This window comes from Homo sapiens, chromosome 4 (assembly GCF_000001405.40).
Source record: "Homo sapiens chromosome 4, GRCh38.p14 Primary Assembly".
Classification (NCBI taxonomy): Eukaryota; Metazoa; Chordata; class Mammalia; order Primates; family Hominidae; genus Homo; species Homo sapiens.
In genome coordinates, this window is record NC_000004.12 from 21598877 (window position 1) to 21618911 (window position 20035).

Sequence of the window (20035 nt, forward strand, 5' to 3'; positions counted from 1 at the left end):
GCTGATTTCCCATTAAACAGAGCCACATTATGACTCCTGGAAGACACATCAGGTTAGGATTATTAGACTTATCTTCAGGGAACAGACATCTCAGAACATATCAGAATTTATGAAGTTGATGCATTTGATTAACTGTATCATCGCTGCAGTCCTACAGCTGGATTATTGTTTTGCTGTCAACATTCGTCAGATCTTGATTTGAGCATCCTTGCAACACTATTCCTCCTCTGTTCAGTTAGCTCCTGTGTGGAGACAGGGACCCTTCGGGAAATGTTCTACTGCCTCCTATGTTCTGCTTTGAATCCTCCTCCCCTGTTTCACATGTTAAAACAAATAATACATTTTGAATATTAATACACATTTTTGAAAATTATTTTTCAGTCTGTACAACCTTTTGATTCTGGTTACTTCCCTGTCTTAGAAAGGGAATCAATAACCAAGAGTGTTTTTAAAATAAAGTTTCTATTATAATAATTATGATTTACTATTTTTATAGTACTATAATTTCAGAATTTCCTTAAAGAAATTAATTTCGAAGTTCACAACTTTCCCCTCAAAATGCAAATTGTAACAAAAATAAGAAAGAAAAAAATGATAACTACCATGTATTACGTACTTAATAGGTGCCACAGACTGTGTTAAGTACCATAAATGGATTGACTTTTTTACATGCAAACATAAAATTATAAAATTAGAGGTAAGCTTGAGAGCAAAATAATACCACAGTAAGTAATTCAAGTGACAGTGCTGTCCTTTGTTGCTTCTACTACAAAGTGAATTATAGGGTTTGGCTTTTACTAGTTCAGATCTGTATTTTAGGTGTGAGTTCAATAATTGTTCTGAGCAGAGTTGCTCTGGCCAAGCTGACTGCTGTATTCTGTGTTAACTTTCCTGGTTTACCTACCAAAGGTGAAATGCTCTGGATGCCAGAAGAATTGAGTTTAAGAAGCCAGGATTTGGAGATAACCTATAAATATTGGAGGCAGGCCCAAAGGAAGTTGTAGGGAGTACTAAATATAAGACTTGACGACAATAGAGACACAGCCCTATTCTCAGGGATTTTGATTCACTAGATCTGGGTAGGATTCAGTAATAAATATCATTTTCAACAAAAATCCTCAGCGATTCTGCTGCAGGTGGTCCTCAGATCACATCTTAAGAAGTATTGATGTAAACAGAACTGTTTCAAACTGCTTCTTTCTTCATTCCCTTACTCCCTCTGCTAACCAAGTCCTCCCACTCAGTCCACTGAAAGGGCCAGGCTTGGTGATGCTAAGGTATGGCTTCCTCCCTAAAGGAGATAAACAATACAAAAACTTTCATGCTGAGCCAAAATGTTCACTTAATATCAACTTGTAACAGTCTCTTGTATTTTGTGTCTAGATCCTTGATCCAAAACTACCTAAATTTGGAATGAAGCTGCTCAAACTTTCATAATTACTGACATTATTAAGATTTTAAATCTGTATAGAACTAAAGTTTTACTTTTTTAATTGATGCATAATAGATGTACATATTTTGGGGGTACACGTGCTAGTTTGACACATTCATATAATGTATAAATTGGTGTAATTGGGCTATTCATCACCTTATTTACTTTTTATTTGAGAAATATTCAAATTATTCTCTTCTAGCTATTTTGAAATGTACAATAGATTAGCGTAAACTATAGTCATCCTACTGATCAGTTGAATACCAGTTATCATTTCTCCTATCTAACTGTGTATACTTGTACCCACTAATCAACTTCTCTTAAAGTTCTTCTTATTTTCCAGCCATGCCTAGAATCTTGACCTAGTACTGGTAAACACTCATGCTCTGCATGTGTTTACAACACTTTCGATTTCCCCATGGTTGTGAGCTGTTCCTCTGAATTGACACTTGGATAGATGTCCTCCAATACCCATGTTGTATTTCATTTCCATCATGAATACTTGTGTATGAGCTCCTTGCTACATCTATAAAATTGGATTTCCAGCCTTGCCTTATCTATCCTTGCTCAGGTACCTGCTAATAGACATCTCCTCTTGCAAATCCCACAAAGACACCAAATCCAATATCACCAACACAAACCTGATCCCCTTTTGTCATTTAAAAAAATCTTACTAAAGAAGGCCATCACTATTCCAGTCACTAACGTTAAACAAACAAAACAAAAAACTGGGTGTCATCCTAGATCCCTTTATGCTTACCACACATCCCTTCATTTAATCCCCCAACCGTTTTCACAGGCACCAGTGTCCTAGGGTTCTATCTGGGCTTCCTAGCACCAATCTCCCTCCTCTCAATTCCTTCTTCACATTGCTGCAGTCCAAACTATCATCAAACCAAATCTGATTATGCCATTGCTTTTCTTTTCTCCTTAAAACACTTTAATGTTTTCACATTGCCAAAAGAATCAATTTCAACATCCATGCAATTAAAAAGTGCATTTATAACCCAGAGACTGTCAATTTACCCCAACTAATCTCCATCTCATTCCATGTATATAATCAAAATTAATATATATCCAGCTATAATAAGTACTTACAGTGTCCCAAATATGCTGTTCTGCTTCTGGCCTCGACCACTCCAACTTAAATCACCATCATGTTTTTTCTGCACCTCTGTAAGAGACTCTCCTTTCCCCTTTCTCTTCCCCTAAACATGTCCTCCACCCAACCCCCTAAGTGAATTTTGATAAAATAATAAGATCATGTCAGTCCTCTATTTGGCTCTCCAATGGCTTCCTGCTGCACTGGATGGATGTTCATATTCCATCCATTGGTCTATAAGGTCCTCTATGATCTGATTCCTGCCTACCCTCTGCCCCTTCTCTCCTTCCATCCTCCCACTCTTTCAAATCACTCCAACCCAACTGACCTTCCTGATCCTCACATGAGCCAAGCTCATTTCTGCTTTAGGAACTTTGCTCTCAGAACCTTCCTGTAGCTTTTCCTCCATGCTTATGCATGGCTGGTTCTTACTCCTTATTCAGGTCTCAACTGTCACCTCCTCGGAGAAGCTCTCCTTGACCACACCATCAAACGCTAAGTGTCCTCCCCATATTTCTCTGTTACTTTACTGTGCTTTATTTTCTTCACGCCATTTCTCACTTAGCAAAATCACCTGAATTAGTTAGTTTACTAATATAGTCATGCCCCTCCCCAACGCAATTGTAAGGACACCATTTCAATAAGCATTTGTTGAATGTCTCAATGGCTTTGCTTATGTTGTTCCTTCTGCTTCAAATAGGCTTCTTCAACCTTGGGCACTGACTACTTGCTAGGCTCTAGAATATTCTTCAACACTTAATTCAAACAACTCTTCTGCTGGGAAGTCCTCTTTCACCCCAAACAGCATTGATCACATCTAGGTTTGCCTTGCTCCATGTCTCATTACAGCATCAAACTGTTTCATAACTATTTGCTTGCATGTCCTTCTCCCAAATTAGACCTCCTTGGAGTAAAGGATGAATCTTATTCATCTCAGGATCCTCTGCATATAACACGGTTCTCCAGGGGCAGTAGATACTCAATAAATGTATCCTGAATGAACAAATAAATCTGCTGCTGCCCATACCAGAGTGTAGATAAGATGTGAGAACAGTGATGATCAGAGTGATGGAGCCTTAAGACTAATAAATAAGCTGAACTCAAGTCTCTCATTGTATGTGTGTGTGTTGACTTTTCACATGTATAGAAAGATACACACACATAAGGTATGAATAATCCTCAAGTACAATGATTCAAAGAAATTACATATAATTAATCCTTATTATATTGCTCAGAATGTATTTTAAATATATTTGGTCATTTATGGCTAATGCAACAATTGTAGCTGCAACTGTAGCTGTGGGTACTCATCTTTTTGATTTACGTATGCCTGTAACTGTACTTACCTAAATTGATAGGTTCAGAATAAAGAAGGAAGAGTATGAAGCAATTCAAATATAATGCTTAGTTCAAGGGAGGTACTTTAAATCTCTTCTTAATTAAAGAAATAAAGATTCTTGGAAACCAATCATTGAATTTGAATTTTGCCATTTAAAATTTTATGAAACACTAATGAATAAGATATAATGTCCATGTTTATATACATTCCTATAAATGTTAAGTATTTGCTTGCATCTACATATCTATTCAGCTTTGATTATTCCTTTTTGGCAGTTTTATCCAATATATTGTTTTTTGGAAAAAACAACTTTTAACAATACTTACAAGACTCATGATTATTTCTCTCTTCTGTTGATTTTGCCAAAGAGCTTTAAAACATCTTTTATCACTCCTTCATTACATGGATGAATAAACTTATTTGAGCATTTATTTACTAACTTTGCAGTTGCTCTAGTTTTCTAAATTTTGTGTTTTGAATCCTCTTCTGTGTCTGTAAAATGACCTTGGAGTGAAGTTGTATCTGCAAGTCACATAAAGCCATAAGAGATCATAGAGATCACTAAAATTTATTCAGACTTTTTGAGTATTTGCAAGATTGTGTGGGAAAGAAAAAGAGGAGGAAGAGGAGAAAGAAGAAAGAAAGGAAAGAAAGGATGAAGGGAAGGAAATAGAGAAAGAATGTAAGACTTCAAATGCAAAGAAGAAAGTGCAAAATCCAGTCAAATGTTTTGGCTGGTTGAGAAATGAAAGCAGGTAAGATATTACATTTTATTAACTAAGAGGCCAACTACTTTTGAATATTTTGAAGCCCACAATATCTGCAGCTCCAGGTACCTTGCCGGCTAAGCTAAAATCACGGGGTCCAACTTCTGTTATTTGGAAAGGCAATTGCCTGAGTGGCCATGAATCTTCCAATCTTAAGACAATTAAAAGTAAGTAGCAATGATAAAAAAAAAAATCCAGTTAAATGAATGCTAATGACCTGTCTGACTAGCGATGTGTCTTTCAATCCCAGATGAAAAATCACAAACAAAAAGATTTAACAAAATCAAAACTATAATATCTGAAATTATAGAATTGGATTCTCATGTCTAAGGATTTGCACATTTAGGCAATTTATGTTTCTGAGATGCTTAAACAAATTTAATCTAGTAGACTGATAGTCTTATAGTTTAAAATATATTTTAATCAAAATATAATGAAGTAACTGATAGACTTGTGATTTTAAGTTGAAATTTTAGTAGACTTCTGTTCGGTAATGGGAAATCTAAGATTTTTTTCATTCGTCGATTATAAATTTTAGGTTTTACTTTTATAAAAATTATTTAGTGAATAGGAAAGTTTGATTAAGTTAGAGAGTTACCTCAAAATGAAGTAAAATATATTAATTTTTGAATAATATACCTTCTATTACTACATATAATAGTGCTAATGAAATGGTAGTATCTATTGTTGCAATGCAGATGTGGAGTCATTTGCTTAAAGCCCATTAAATTGTTTAGAAACCTAAGAGTAACAGATGAATGCCTACTTTTTGCTGTGTCTAAATCATCCTACGTGTTAGTTGCTCTTGCTATCCATTTATAGATAAAGAAACTCTAGAACAAGGGGTAAAGGAATTTAAGTAATCTGACCATGTTTGCTCAGCTAGTAATTTTAGGAACCAGAATTTTTACCTAGGGTTGTGTGATTTCAGTATAAAAGACTTATTAAACATTGTAATACAGCAATATACAGTAATACCACCTCTATCTTGTTTAACACGATATATTTTGCTCCTCAAATGGCAAGCATAAATGGGACCTTGGCAAATTGCAGGATTATTTGCTATTGGAAATTTTTGTCTAAGAGTGAAAAATAACCCTCATTAATCTTTTATTTCCATACAGAGTTTCATAGATTGTCTATATTTAAGATAAAGCCAACTTTTACACGGACTACCTCTGAAAAATATAAATTGGATGCTATTTGTCTGAAGAAGTTAGGATGAGATTTGATATCCTTTTTTTGGTACACTAAATTTAGACAAATTCAAGCAATTCTTTTGAAAATCACTGTGGGACAAAGATATTGAAAGACAAACTAGAAAAGTAAAGTAGCTAGTGGAACATCTTTATCACTTTGATCAATTATTTCAAAAGCCTCCAAGAGGTCAGATTACTTCGCTTTAGGTTTCCAAATGTATTAGGACATTTTCAGTGTAAATGGACAGTTAGTCTAGTGAAAGTGTTGTTCCTCTGGCATTTTCTGAACTTTAAAGGACACTGGGGTGTTTCTGGGAGTAAAACAGCAAGTCTTCTTTGGTGGGATTCTTGCGGGCTGGTCACTAAAATGCAAGTGTGGTCCACGTTGAAATGAGTAAAACTATTGACCTATGGCTCAGAAGCTAAGAGACCAAGGATGACATAAACATGAACACTAGCTGTTCCAAGGGACAATGCCATCTGGTTTGCTGTAGACGCTGTCAGAAATAGCAGACTCCTGAGATTCTCATTTTCACTCTTGGCAGATTGGAAAAGGCTAACAAACACTATGGCACAAAGGTAAATAAACTTTCCTTGGAGGCTATAGGCTTCTCCTCAAAGTCAATGAGGCAAGGCAAGTACATTTTTAAAGTGAGTCCTTATTGAGGATCATTGGATGCTTCATTCTTGTGCCTTGCTCTGTCATAAAGCTTCTAGGGCGAGACCAATATGCCCAATCTCAAACATTCTATTTTTAATATTCCTTTTTACAATTTTTTTTTTGAGACGGAGTCTCACTCTGTCGCCCAGGCTGGAGTGCAGTGGCGTGATCTCGGCTCATTGCAACCTTTGTCTCCCAGGTTCAAGCGATTCTCCTGCCTCAGCCTCCAGAGTAGCTGGTACTACAGGTGCCCGCCACCACACCCAGCTAATTTTTGTATTTTTAGTAGAGATGGGGTTTCACCATGTTGGCCAGGCTGGTCTCGAATTCCTGACCTCAGGTGATCGCCTACCTCGGCCTCCCAAAGTGCTGGGATTACAGGCGTGATCCACTGTGCCTGGCGTACAATGGTTATTTTATTGACTAAAACTAAATTAGTTTTCACATGTAAACAAAGATAGTTAACCATTCCCTGACCACCATCAAAAAAATGGGGTGGGAGGAGGAGTTAGTGGCTCTGAGTAGACGCAAGTTGAGGGAGTCTTCTTCCAGACAGAAAAAAACCATCCTCTGTTGTCTTAGAAATGGTGGCCAATAGGTTTCCTTCCTTCTGTTGTTTTCTCTTTGGACAGGAAAAATATGTAGAAAGAATGAGAAATGCCCTAAGCATTAAATTCAGTACCCTGAACAATCTTACTGGGGAGTTGAACCCATGCCTGGATAGCCAGAGAAAGAATTATATTATTTGGAGGGGAGCTTGGGGTGGTGGCCATCCAGATATGGGAACTCAGAGAAAGGATATTTCTGGCAATGGCAGCTTCATAATTTCTAAATAGTGATAATTTGATCAGAGAGTGAAGGTGGTGGTGGCTGGTAGGATAATAACATTGAGACTCGATATGTATGGCAAACAGGATCCTTTTTAACATATCACTGAGGATGGATGGAGAGGAAGAGAGTTATCTTTCTGAGAATCCCTGATATGATCTGGGAACAGTAGTCAGCAGAGTCATTACTTTTCTATTGCTGCTGTACCGAATTACCACAAACTTAGTGGCTTCCAAAATTGCGAATGTATTACCTTTTAGCTCTAGAGGTCAGAAGTCTGATGTGGGTCTCAGTGGACTGAAATCAAGGTGTCAGCAGGGCTGTGTTGCTTTCCCAGTGCTCTAGGGAGGAGTTAGTTTCTGTGCTGTTTTGTTTGTTTGTTTGTTTGTTGTTTGTTGTTTGTTTTTGAGACAGAGTCTTGCTCTGTTACCCAGGCTGGAGTGCAATGGCACCATTTCGGCTCACTGCAACCTCTGCCTCCCGGGTTCAATCGATTCTCCTGCCTCAGCCTCCCGAGTAGCTGGGATAACAGGAGCGCATCACTACATCCAGCTAATTTTTGTATTTTTAGTAGAGATGGGGTTTCACATGCTGGCCAAGCTGGTCACAAATTCCTGACGTTAGTTTTTACTCTGCCTGCATTCTTTGGCTTGTGCATGCCTTCCATGTTGAAAGCCATCAATGGTGAATTGAGTTCTCAAATCGTATTACTCCAATCTTCCCTCTGACTCACTCTTCCACTCCTTAGGACCCTTGTGATTTCATGGGTTCCTCACATATAACTCAGGAAAATCTGCCTATCTTAATGTCAGCTAATTAGCAACCTTTTTTTTTTTTTATAATGTAGCAAAATATATTAGTAGGGTCCATGAATTAAGATGTGGCCACCTTGGGGTGCTTTCATTCTGTCTGTCACAACAGCTGTGAAAAACATGGTGTCTGGAGCCATATTGTCTAGATTCAATCCCAATGCCACCACATACTAACTATGCAACTCTGGACTAATGACACAGTCTCTCCACGCCTCAGTTTCCTCAACTGTAAACCACAGTGAATAACGCCTATCTCAGAAGGTTCTTCTAAGGAATAATGTGTTAATATATGAAATGTGCTTACAACAGCACAAGTACTCAATTAAAATGAACAATTCTGATGTCCACCTACTTTATCAAGATAGAAGATAAAATTATTAAACATATGGCGAATGCCTACAAGCTTCAGACTTAGGAGAATTTGATTGCAGCTATCAACAATAGACACTTACAAGTGCTTCCTAACATGTCTACACTCCAAATTCCCAAAGTGAATGAATGGCTCAGGAGATCCCAGAATCAAATCAGGTGGACACTATTAGAAAGCACCCGATTTGATCCCGGGATCTCCCCAGCCATTCATTCACTCTGGGACTCCGGGAATCCTTGCATGGGGAGAGCTTCTCACATATAAGCATAATGTTTATCTGTAGCTCTGCCAGTTTTCTTAGTCCTGTTCCTTTGAAGTCTAGCATTAAGTAGGCCTAAGATGTCATGCAAGCCACTGTCCATGATACTGCTGGTCTCTCCAACTTGCATCTGCCTCCCTTTCTCACAGGTCACAGAAAAACCTATGCTTACCCTGAATTTTTCAGAACATAGTCACATAGCACAGCTGGTGGACTCTCTAGTAACAAAGCTATTTCCATTGTTCCACAATCATCTGCTTCACAAGAGACAACAGGCTCCTGAGAACTGGGGAGCTGAGACGCTGCAGGTGACAGTTGTATACAGACGTGCAAAGTTCTTGGGATCTCTTCCAGGTTCTAATTCAGGCCCGGATGCTAAGGCTTGCCCTGCTCTGCAAGGCTTTTACTCATGGTGCTTTTCTCTTAAAGGCTTTATTGTTTTGTTTTTTCATGATGGTCCTTATTACAGACATTTCCCTCTCTACTCTACATTCCCTTTCTATTCCCTCTGTATTCTTCCACAACTAATTACCACAACCTTAGAAGCTTAAAGAAACACAAATTTATTGTCTGACATTTTCTATAGGTCAGAAGTCCAGTGGTCACTGCCACGTCTTTATTTAGAATCTCACAAGCCTGATATAAAGGTGTCTGCGGGGCTGCCTTACTTTCTGAAACCTCTAGAGGAATGTCTCTGTTCTTGCTCATTCAGGCTGCTGGCTGAGCTTAGTTCCTTGTGCTGTGCAACTGAGATCCACATTTCCTTGATGTCAGCTAAGGACCATTCTTAGATTCTAGAAATTACCTGCATTCCTTGGCTTGTGTCTCCTTCCTCCATTTTCAAAGGCATCAATGGTGGCCGAGTCCTTCTTACATCAAACTTCTCTGACTCTTCTGTGTTCCTCTTCTGTTTTTGAGAATCCATGTGATTACATTGGGGCCTCCAGGATAATCTCCCCATATCGAGGTCCATAGCCTTTATCACATCTGCCAGGTCTTTTTTTGCCATGTAATATAACATAAAATAGTCACAGAATCTAGAGATTAAGGTGTAAGCATCATTGTAGAACATTAGTCAGTCAAGCACTGCCTCTTGTACTCCAGTCATCAGGGTCATTAGATCTACATATGTCTGAAATTTTTGCTTCTAATTTTCTCCCACAGACTCCGAGTTCTCAAAGAAAATCAAGGCATATGGCTGGGCATCTCTTTTAGCATCCTTGAACAGTCTGTAATGGCCCAAATGTACTTCAAGAATGCAGCAATTGAAAACAAGTCACCCGGAGCACACAGACTAGAGGTAGGTGGTGCTTCCTCACAGCCAAAATGTTGCCTCATCACTGACCAGCCAAAGGTGATCCATTTCATCCATATTAAGAGATACTGAAAATACTAGGAGAACTGATGAGAGATAAACTGACTTTCCTGGGAGAATTTAGTAAAAGTCCTCCAAGAGATTATGTTCAATTTGAAATTTGAAGTATGCAGGAAGTTTAATAGGAAGAACAGGAATGGATAGGAGAAATCATTTCAAGTAAATAGAAAAGCAAGAATATGCTTGTGAATAATGAGAAAAATAAATTTTGAATAAAATTATGGGTGTGTGTTTGTGTATCTATTGTATGTATGTGTGTTTGAATAAGGCATACTGATATTATGTATTGGTCAACCACAATATAGGAAAATAAATTGAAGGGCATCTCTTTAAATCTTACAGGTAGTCCATGCTTTCCACAGTACCAGCATTATGTTAAATGAATTCATTCATAGTGATCAATTCCTCACTTCGCATGAGTTACAGTTAATATGGTTCTGTGCAAAACAAGGACAGCCTGTATGTCTATTTTTAATCAAAGATCTGAATTGCTGACTACAGGGCATACTCATTAATTCAGACACCTCTGAAGATAGAAAAATTTGCTAGGACTAGATTTGAAGGGGATCTTTAAAAATTAGAGCAACAAGTAATCACAATGAAGATGATATTTCTTAACAAGATATCCTCATGGAAAATAGAGAAAAGAGAAGAAGATTGCTTCCTTAAATTAGGGACACAGACTAGTGAGGTAAAAGAAAAGCAGAAAAATAATCTGTGAGTTATACTTGACTACAAACTGATAGGAGAGCAAGAACATGTAGCGAGCACCCTACTATGTGCTAAGACTGTGTTAATCTAAGTACTTTTGTGGTTATCACATTTAATACTCACAAATGTTTGTAAGATATATTTTATTAGGTGAATGTCTTGATGCTGCTGAAGATCGAATACTATCTGAATTGAAATATTATCTCATTACTACTATTCCTCATGCCACACCAGGAATATTCTTGTCATACCTACTCTGATATTCTGGAAACAGGCAGAAACTGTTATATTTAGGAGATACTTCTCCTGCTACCTTAGGGATACTTCTCCTGCTGTCTTTAGATTATAAAACCATTTTGACTATGAACTACTTTTCAGTGGCAGGTTATAACAGGTCATGCCCTTCGGGCAATTTATAAGCTTGCTATGGCTACTGTAACAAAACACTACAGAGTGAATGGATAAACCAGCAGAAATTTATTTTCACACAGTTCTGGAGGCTAGACATCCAAAATCAAGATGTCAGTGGGGTAGGTTACTTCTGCAGACTATGAGGAATGATCTATTCTAGACCTTTCTCCTTGGCTTGAAGATGGCTAATCTTCACCCTTTGTCTTCACATTGTCTTCCTTCTTTACATGTCTGTATCCAAATTTCATCTCCTTATGAGGACAGCAGTGATATTGGCTTAGGGTCCACACTAATGACCTCATTTTAATTTAACTCTGTAAGTCCCATTAAACAAATATAGTTTCATTTGAGGTACTGGAACGTATTATAATCTTTCTTTTTGTGAGGGAGGATGACACAATTTAGCCCATAACACAGAAGAAAAACACAATCAAAATTCACATTAGGGATTTTAGCTCTAAGAAATTAAATATGTATATTAGAATACATAAAAACACCAATAAGAATACGAAGTCATTTGTGTAAATGAGTTTATTCATACATTTTCATACTGCTACAAAGAAAAACCCGAGACTGGGTAATTTATAAAAGAAAGAGGTTTAATTGACTCACTTTTCTGCATGGGTGGGGAGGCCTCAGGAAACTTACAAACATGGTGAAAAGGGAAGAGGCACATCTTTTTTTTTTTAATTATACTTTAAGCTCTGGAGTACATGTGCAGAACGTGCAGGTTTGCTACATAGGTATATATGTGCCACGGTGATTTGCTGCACCCATCAACTCATCATCTACATTAGATATTTCTCCTAATGCTATCCCTCCCCTAGACCCCCACCCCCTGACAGGCCCCAGTGTGTGATGTTCTCCTCCCTGTGTCCATGTGTTCTCATTGTTCACCTCCCACTTATGAGTGAGAACATGTGGTGTTTGGTTTTCTGTTCTTTTGTTAGTTTGCTGAGAATGATAGTTTCCAGCTTCTTCCATGTCCCTACAAAGGACATGAACTCATCCTTTTTTATGGCTGCATAGTATTCCATGGTGTATATGTGTCACATTTTCTTTATCCAGTCTACCATTGATGGGCATTTGGGTTGGTTCCAAGACTTTGCTATTGTGAACAGTGCTGCAATAAACATTATGTGTGCATGTGTCTTTATATTAGATGACAGCAGGTGAGAGAGAGAAGAAGAGGAGTGAAGGGAGAAGAGCCCCTTATAAAACCATCAGATCTTATGAGAACTCACTCACCATCTCAAGAACAGCATGGGGGAAGCCACCTCCATGATCCAATCACCTCCCATCAAGTCTCTCCCTAGATACATGGGGATTATGGAGATTACAATTCAGTATGAGATTTGGGTGGGGACACAGCCAAATCATATCAGTGAGCAATTAAGGAATTAACAGTGTCGAATCTTGGTTTGTTAACATTGATGAAGACAAATATATAGCCACCAATATCCACTCTATCTCTTCACCTGGTTTAAGGTTTTTTTGTTTGTTTGTTTGTTTGTTTTTGTTTTTGTTTTTTTCCTTTCATCATGGCAAGAGGTGCTTTAACTCTTCATTCTGTAATCCCATGAACAGCTATACAGATGTACCATACATTTTTTGGAGGGGTGGGGGATAACATTCTTCAATGTCACTAGGTTTTTGTAGGACCAACTCAAGCCGGCAGGTATAGTTAGAGAGACGGAAAGGTACAAGACCAACTATGGAAGAATCCAATGCCTCCAAGCATTACATGTTAGGATAAAGATCAGGATCACTGTTTGCATTCTCAGTAAGATAAACTTAGAGAAACTGCATGTTTTCCCTTTTCTCAATGATTTAACTTTTTCTTAGTTACGAGACAAACTTTAGAACAGCCAATAATCCATTAGAGTGAAGACATAATTGTCTTTTTAATAACAATGCCTCAAAGTGTGGGATATACGCCTGTCAACTCAGAGTTAGAATTGAATGTTTGACTTTCATTTTATTTATGTTGTAGAAAAAAAGATTGATTTTTTTTAAAAAAAGGAGGTTTTTCTGTTTTATTTCATTTTAGGCTGAAATTGGTTGTCAGAATACAGCATCACTGAAATATTATGTGCATTGAACAAATGGAGCTGGGTTGCATTCCACAGTATGCCACCAAAGTGAAAAGAAACAAAGTTTTTGTATAGAAAACTGGCATGTTAATAACGTCACACTCAGTGGCACATGCCTGTAGTCCAATATACTCAGGAGGCTGAGGCTTGGAAATCACTTGAGCCCAGAAGTTTGAAACTAGTCTGGGTAACATAGCAAGAATCCATCTCAAAAGAAATTGCACTGACTGGGGCTGAACCCTCAAGTCATTGAATCATGGAATTTTAAAGGAGAAGTCTGGCTTTTTCAGTTGTCTGGAGTGGATACTTAATTTAATTAAAGAGATGGAATGCATTTGATGAAAACAATTAAGCCACATTGGCATACTCTACATTGGCATCTAATATGATACGGCTATTTAATAAAAAGCTAGTATTCTGTTTGACAGATCAATTATTCATTAAATAGATGGGGCAGAAATGGACACGCAAAATCAAAGCTGATTAATTCAGCAAAATCTTCAATAATACTGTCACCTTTAATCCAAGCCAATGGCTTCCAGCACAGCAGGCAGCTTGATAGAGGGTAAAGTAATCACAATGCAATGTGTTAAGTGCAAGTTATAAGAAGCACTATGTAAAGAGTACTATGCAAAAACAGAGGAGTTGCACCCTGACTTGGGGATATCAGAAAAATCTTCCTTTTAATAGAAGTAATATCATTCTTAGTTTTAATAGATGTCAGGCAAAGAATGCATAAGTAGGCCGTTCAAAGGTATGTAGAGAGAAAAAGGCCCTGTTCATATTCTGAGACCCTGGTTTCATCAGTCTAATCTTGAGTACTGTTGGATCAGCAGCCACTCCACCAAGTTGGAACATGAGGGAGTAATTGATATTTCTCCCATAATCCAGTGTATTCATTATGGTATACTGTTGCAATCATGCTCCCAACATGAGCCAGCCTCCTACACCCATGCCCTTGGACAGCCTACTACCACATTCAATAGGGCTGATATGTGTTAACCAATAGGACATTGTAGAAATGGCACCATGTGTCATCAGAGGCTGGGTTATCAAAGAAATTTTAGCTTCTGCCTTGTTTGTTCTCTTGGTTCAGTCTCTGTGGGCCACCATGCATGAGGACATTCAAGCAGCCTTATGGAGCAGTTTACATGGAGAAAAACTAAGGCCTCCTGCCAACAGCCAGCACCAACTGGCCATATAAATGAACTACCTTGATCATGAATGCAGACTCTCTAAAGCCTTTACATGGATGCAACCTCATGAGAGACCCCTGTCCAGAAGAACACAATTAAGCTCCTGAATTCCTGACCCACAGAAGAGCTGTGAGATACTAAATGCCTATTGTTGTTTTAAGCCACTAAATTTTGAGGTAATTTATTATGTGGTAATAGATAACTAAGACATGAGTATACACTAACCCTAAAATAATCTCAAAATCCCTTCATGTTGTCCAGGTAGTACCATTAAATGTGACCTGCATGTTCTCATAAGTGTATGTGGTAAGAAATGTTCCATGCATTTATTTACATGTGTCTCTAGAAAAATATTCTACAGGGAAACAATTCTTCTATTCCTCAATGGATCCAGGTAGGGCCCACCAACACTTTCATTTATTCTGGTGGCCAGGCAAGTGCAATGGTCCATGCCTGTAAGCCCAGCACTTTGGGAGGTTGAACTGGGCAGATCACCTGAGGTCAGGGGTTCAAGCAGCCTGGCCAAATGGTGAAAATCTGTCTCTACTAAAAATACAAAAAAAAAAAAAATTAGCCAGGCGTGGTAGCATGCACCTGTAATCCAGCTATGCGGGAGACTGAGGCAAAAGCTTAAACTCAAGAGATGGAGGTTGCAGTGAGCCGAGATGGTGGGGCTGCACTCCAGCCTGGGTGAGAAAGCGAGACTCTATCTCAAAAAAAAAAAAAAAATTCTTCTGGTCAGAGAAAATCAATTCAGCCTTTAGCTGAGTAGAATGAGTACAAACTGAAAAGATTATTAGAGAGTGAATTTTATTCATGCAGACAACACGCTCTTGACATGAGGGATGCAGGTGTTTAGGCATATGCTATACAAACTTCCAGGGCATAAAACCAGGCCAGAAAGAATTTTCTGGTCAAACAAGCTCAACAGCTTAATAGCAGTTCCAAAGCTAGGAAAAATGAATGCACCCCTACCTTCACTAGACTATTTCCCTCCTCCCAGCTGGAAAGATAAAGGGAAAATAAACCCTTAAATATTGAGCTATATATATATAAGTATTTATATATATAATATATATAGCTTAAATTAAGCTATAATATAGCTTCTATTTAATGCATATTAAATCAAATATACATTATATATAAAATAAAATTACATTACATTAAAATTATATTAAATTAAAATTAAATATACATTATAGCTTAAATATACACATTTAAGCTATATATATAATTTAAGCTTATATAGATAAATTCATATATTTATGGCTTATATATGTATAATCTAAATCTAAATATATATCATCTAAATCTCTTACAGACACGCATTTTAAAACCCATCAAAAAAGCTGACAAGTCAGGAATCCGTTTTAGGACACCTATGGGCATATTCTGGGAAAGGAGTCTTAATCATTGAGAAGCAAACTCTGGAGCCATTTCATGGAGGGATCTTAAAGGCACACAACCATTGGTTTTACTGCACATGTGTCACCGTCTGAAGCCATCCTGCAACTCTCACGAGTCATCTGCTCTGAAGTAGAGCACACCTATTTCTGGAAAAAGAGGATCAGACTGTCTTTTTCTGAGTGTGGTTGGCATCTATGGGATAGGCTTTCCTGGTTAAAAACTAGTTAGTTAAAAACTAGGAAGATAAGAGTAGCACAATTGAAAGAAAGAATGAAAGAAGGAGGGAGAGAAAAGAGTGAAAGTAGAAAAATCAGGAAAATCTTTCAGTGATAGAATAAAAATAAATCAAAGGAAAAAAGAAAAAAATAATGATTAGAGTAAAAGAAACTAGAAATAACTTTAAAAACATACATCATATAGGGCCGGGCGCGGTGGCTCACGCCTGTAATCCTAGCACTTTGGGAGGCTGAGGCGGGCGGATCACGAGGTCAGAAGATCGAGACCATCCTGGCTAACACGGTGAAACCCCGTCTCTACTAAAAATACAAAAAAAAAAAAATTAGCTGGAATGGTGGTGGGCGCCTGTAGGCCCAGCTACTCAGGAGGCTGAGGCAGGAGAATGGCGTTTACCTGGGAGGTAGAGCTTGCAGTGAGCCGAGATCACGCCACTGCACTCCAGCCTGGGCTACAGGGCGAGACTCCGCCTCAAAAAAACAAAAAACAAAACAAAAAAAAACATATAAAAGTAACAAATATTCTAGATACCAAACAATGAAACAGACAAAACCTGAAAACAAAGAATTGAGGAGAAAAATAAAGTACATCTCTAAAATGGAAGCTATTCCTGCCCCATCCCTAAATCTGCTTCCATATTTTAGATGACTGCAGTTTTATTCTTTGAGAAGGCAAAAGTCTAGGAATCATTCTTTACTCCTCTTGTTCTCTCACACCCCACATCCAATTTTCCAGGAAATCTTGTTGATTCTATCTTGAGGCTCTTTCTATAATGCAACCATTCTGCAATCTCTCCAAGGCCACCACTTTGCTCTGAGCAATCCTTGTCTCTTGCCTGAATTGTGAAAATACCCTATGAATTTGTCCTCTGGTTTCTATCCATGCCCTTTATGGTCTATTCTGAACACAGAAACAAATGTGATTCTTTTAAAGGTAGGTCAGACCATGTCATGCCTCTGCTTTAGCCTCCAATAGCTCCCTATTTCTTTGAGCAAAAAAACATACAAGGCCCTACAAGCTCTGGCTCCCCAGTCACTGCCCTTGTCTCAGCTCCTTCTGCCCTTCCTCTTGCATCTTCATCATGCTCCAGCCTTAAAGCTTTGCACTTAGGGTCTCCCATTCCCTGAAGTGTTCTTCCTCTAATGTTTTTCCAAGACTGATACCATTATCTTCTTCAAATTTTGACTCAAATCTTACCTTTATCTCTCCACCTGTCTCACAATTGCACCCTTCAATCCTTCCCCTCCCACCCACCTCTTCTGTGCATGACTGATACTCTTTATTACCATCTAACACATCTCCAGACTGCTCTTCCCTCTTGAGAATGTCAGCACCACCGGTGCAGAAGTCTTTGTCTGAATTGTTTACCAATGTGTTGCAATTGTCTACAACAGGTCCTGAACACATCCCTGTGTCTCTATTAGTGTCCTGGGGCTGTCGTAACAAATTACCACAAACAGAGATTTACTTTCTCTTCATGTTAGAGGTTATATGTCTAAAATCAAGGTGTCAGCAGGACCAAACTTTCTCTGAAATCTGTGGGGAGACTCCTTCCTTGACTCTTTCTAGTCTCTGTGGTTTGCTGGCAATCCGAGATTTTTCTCGGCTTGTAGTTGTGTCATTCACATCTCTGGGCCTCCATAGTCACATAGTGTTCCTCTTGTGTGTCTCTGCGTTTCTTCTTCTCTTCTTGTAAGGACACGAGTCATACTGAATTAACAGCCCATCCTACTTCAGTATGGCCTCATCTTAATACGTGTTACATCTAATTAATGAATTAGCTAATTGATGACCTTATTTATAAATAAGATTACATCTTGAAGTGCTGTCAGGACTTCAACATATCTTTTTAGAGAACAAAATTCACCCCATAACAGTTCCCCAAAATATTTATTTAAATGAATCAATGAAGGTACTAAGTGATGTAAGTTCTTAAAAACATTCTTTGGCCAAGGGCGATGTGGGAAGTCCCTTACTATAGTTAGTACATCTGAGTGAATACACAAATTAGTAAGACAAATGTAGCTGCCTTGATAATGAGTTTATAAGTATTTTTACCAAAACTGTCATTTGATAACAAATTAAAAGGTTGTGTACTGTGCCTTCTTTCACCATGGTTTTACATTACAAAATAGAGTAATTTCTAAAATGTAAATATCAATAAATCATAAGAAAGTAAAATTCATTATTAAATAAAGTTTTACAAAACATACTGTCATCCTGTAGTCCCTCTGCTATGAGAATCACAGAGAAGTGGGTCATTGTTTCAGAAAAGAATATGGCAATAAAAGTGAATTTAAATATTATGTCAAAGAGGAAAAACACCTCTTTGTGTTTTTAATATGTCAATCATTGCTGCATTTTTTATTAGAGGACACGTTTTCCTTTAATTTCCCTAATGTGTTATAGCTTTATTCCTAAACCACATGCTACCATGATTCCTTTGTGTAATTTTAAGTAATAAATCATAAATGAATCATAAACAAATTATAGAATAATTATTCTGCTCCAGTGCTCACAATGATTTTCCTGCTTTTTACTTTAATGTCTCCTATTCCTCCTTAATCCAATATTTATATTTATGACAAGCACCAGTTTTCAATCAAGAGAAAAGCTTCTGTGAAGTTGGGATTAGAGAATGTTTTATTCCACCCTCTATTGTCTAAATAAACATGTTCAGAAATTAATCTCCTCCTTTTTATGGATCTGGGCTGTTTCAAACACCCCCAGGCAAGAAGAGGAGATCTCGCTTCTACTTCTGATCATTTGTTTTAAACTCTGTCTTTGAAATTAGCAAAATCCTACAGGGACTCAAAAAGGTTACTTGTTCTTTCAGGCCTCTGTGAGTTTGAATTACCTGACAGGTATTGAGAAAATTATTTATAAAACAAAAACTTTTACAGAAGCTAAAATATAAGTGACAGAAAGGACTTTAGAAGGGACATGTTGTCCAGAATTATCTAAATTGTAATAGGTTGTATACCACTGATGGTACATATGATGCTGAAGGTAGTAACATACTATTCAAAAACAGACTTTAATAGGAATATATTTGTTTTACATTGGCATCAGTTCAGTTTGCTGTGGTACTCTAAATACTCAGAGGTAATTTTTGATGCTCCTAGTCTGGGTAGGTAATTTAATCAAATTCAGTATAATGCTAGCAAAAAGAAAGAAACAGCTCTTCAAGCCTGTGATTTCATAGATACTACTGTCCGGAACAATACTCCCTTTAAAAAATAAGTCAATTGAGTTAAAGCCCATTTAAATAAATCAAGTATATAAAATTGATAATAAGGTATGTCAAAAAATATGAAGGTGGTAGCCAAAATAATGAAAATTTAGGAACCATTGATGTAGCAGATAAGCAAAATAGACAAAGTAATCAAGTGACTTTTCAGATTGAGAGCTACCTTTCTAGTTGGAGAGTGGATCATTCTTTCCTCTTGGTTTTTGCATTCTCTCTTTCTCCTTCTCTCTTTTTCTGGTCTCTCTCTCTCTCTCTCTCACTCTCTGTTTGTATTTATATATTTTCTTTTCTTTTTCTTTTTCTTTTTCTTTTTTTTTTTTTTTTTTTTGAGAGAGAGTCTCGCTCAGTCGCCCGGGCTGGAGTGCAGTGGCGTGATCTTGGCTCACTGCAAGCTCCGCCTCCCGGGTGCACGCCATTCTCCTGCCTCAGCCTCCCTAGTAGCTTGGACTACAGGTGCCCGCCACCACGCCCTGCTAATTTTTTTGTATTTTTAGTAGAGACGGGATTTCACCCTCTTAGCCAGGATGGTCTCGATCACCTGACCTCGTGATCCGCCCACCACAGCCTCCCAAAGTTCTGGGATAAGAGA

The 20035-nt window shown here is 37.8% G+C and overlaps 1 protein-coding gene and 1 long non-coding RNA gene across 6 annotated transcripts in view; one reads left to right on the forward strand and one right to left on the reverse strand.

Annotated features, from left to right (window-relative positions):
* Positions 1–14846, forward strand: part of LOC105374516 (uncharacterized) — a 31627-nt gene extending 16781 nt beyond the window's left edge. Inside the window, exons 3-4 of the long non-coding RNA NR_134233.1 lie at positions 9934–10069; positions 14456–14846. This is a non-coding gene — a long non-coding RNA (uncharacterized LOC105374516). The remainder of the gene's footprint in view (positions 1–9933; positions 10070–14455) is intronic.
* KCNIP4 (potassium voltage-gated channel interacting protein 4) overlaps positions 1–20035 on the reverse strand; it is a 1220167-nt gene that overhangs the window by 870271 nt on the left and 329861 nt on the right. The window lies entirely within an intron of this gene.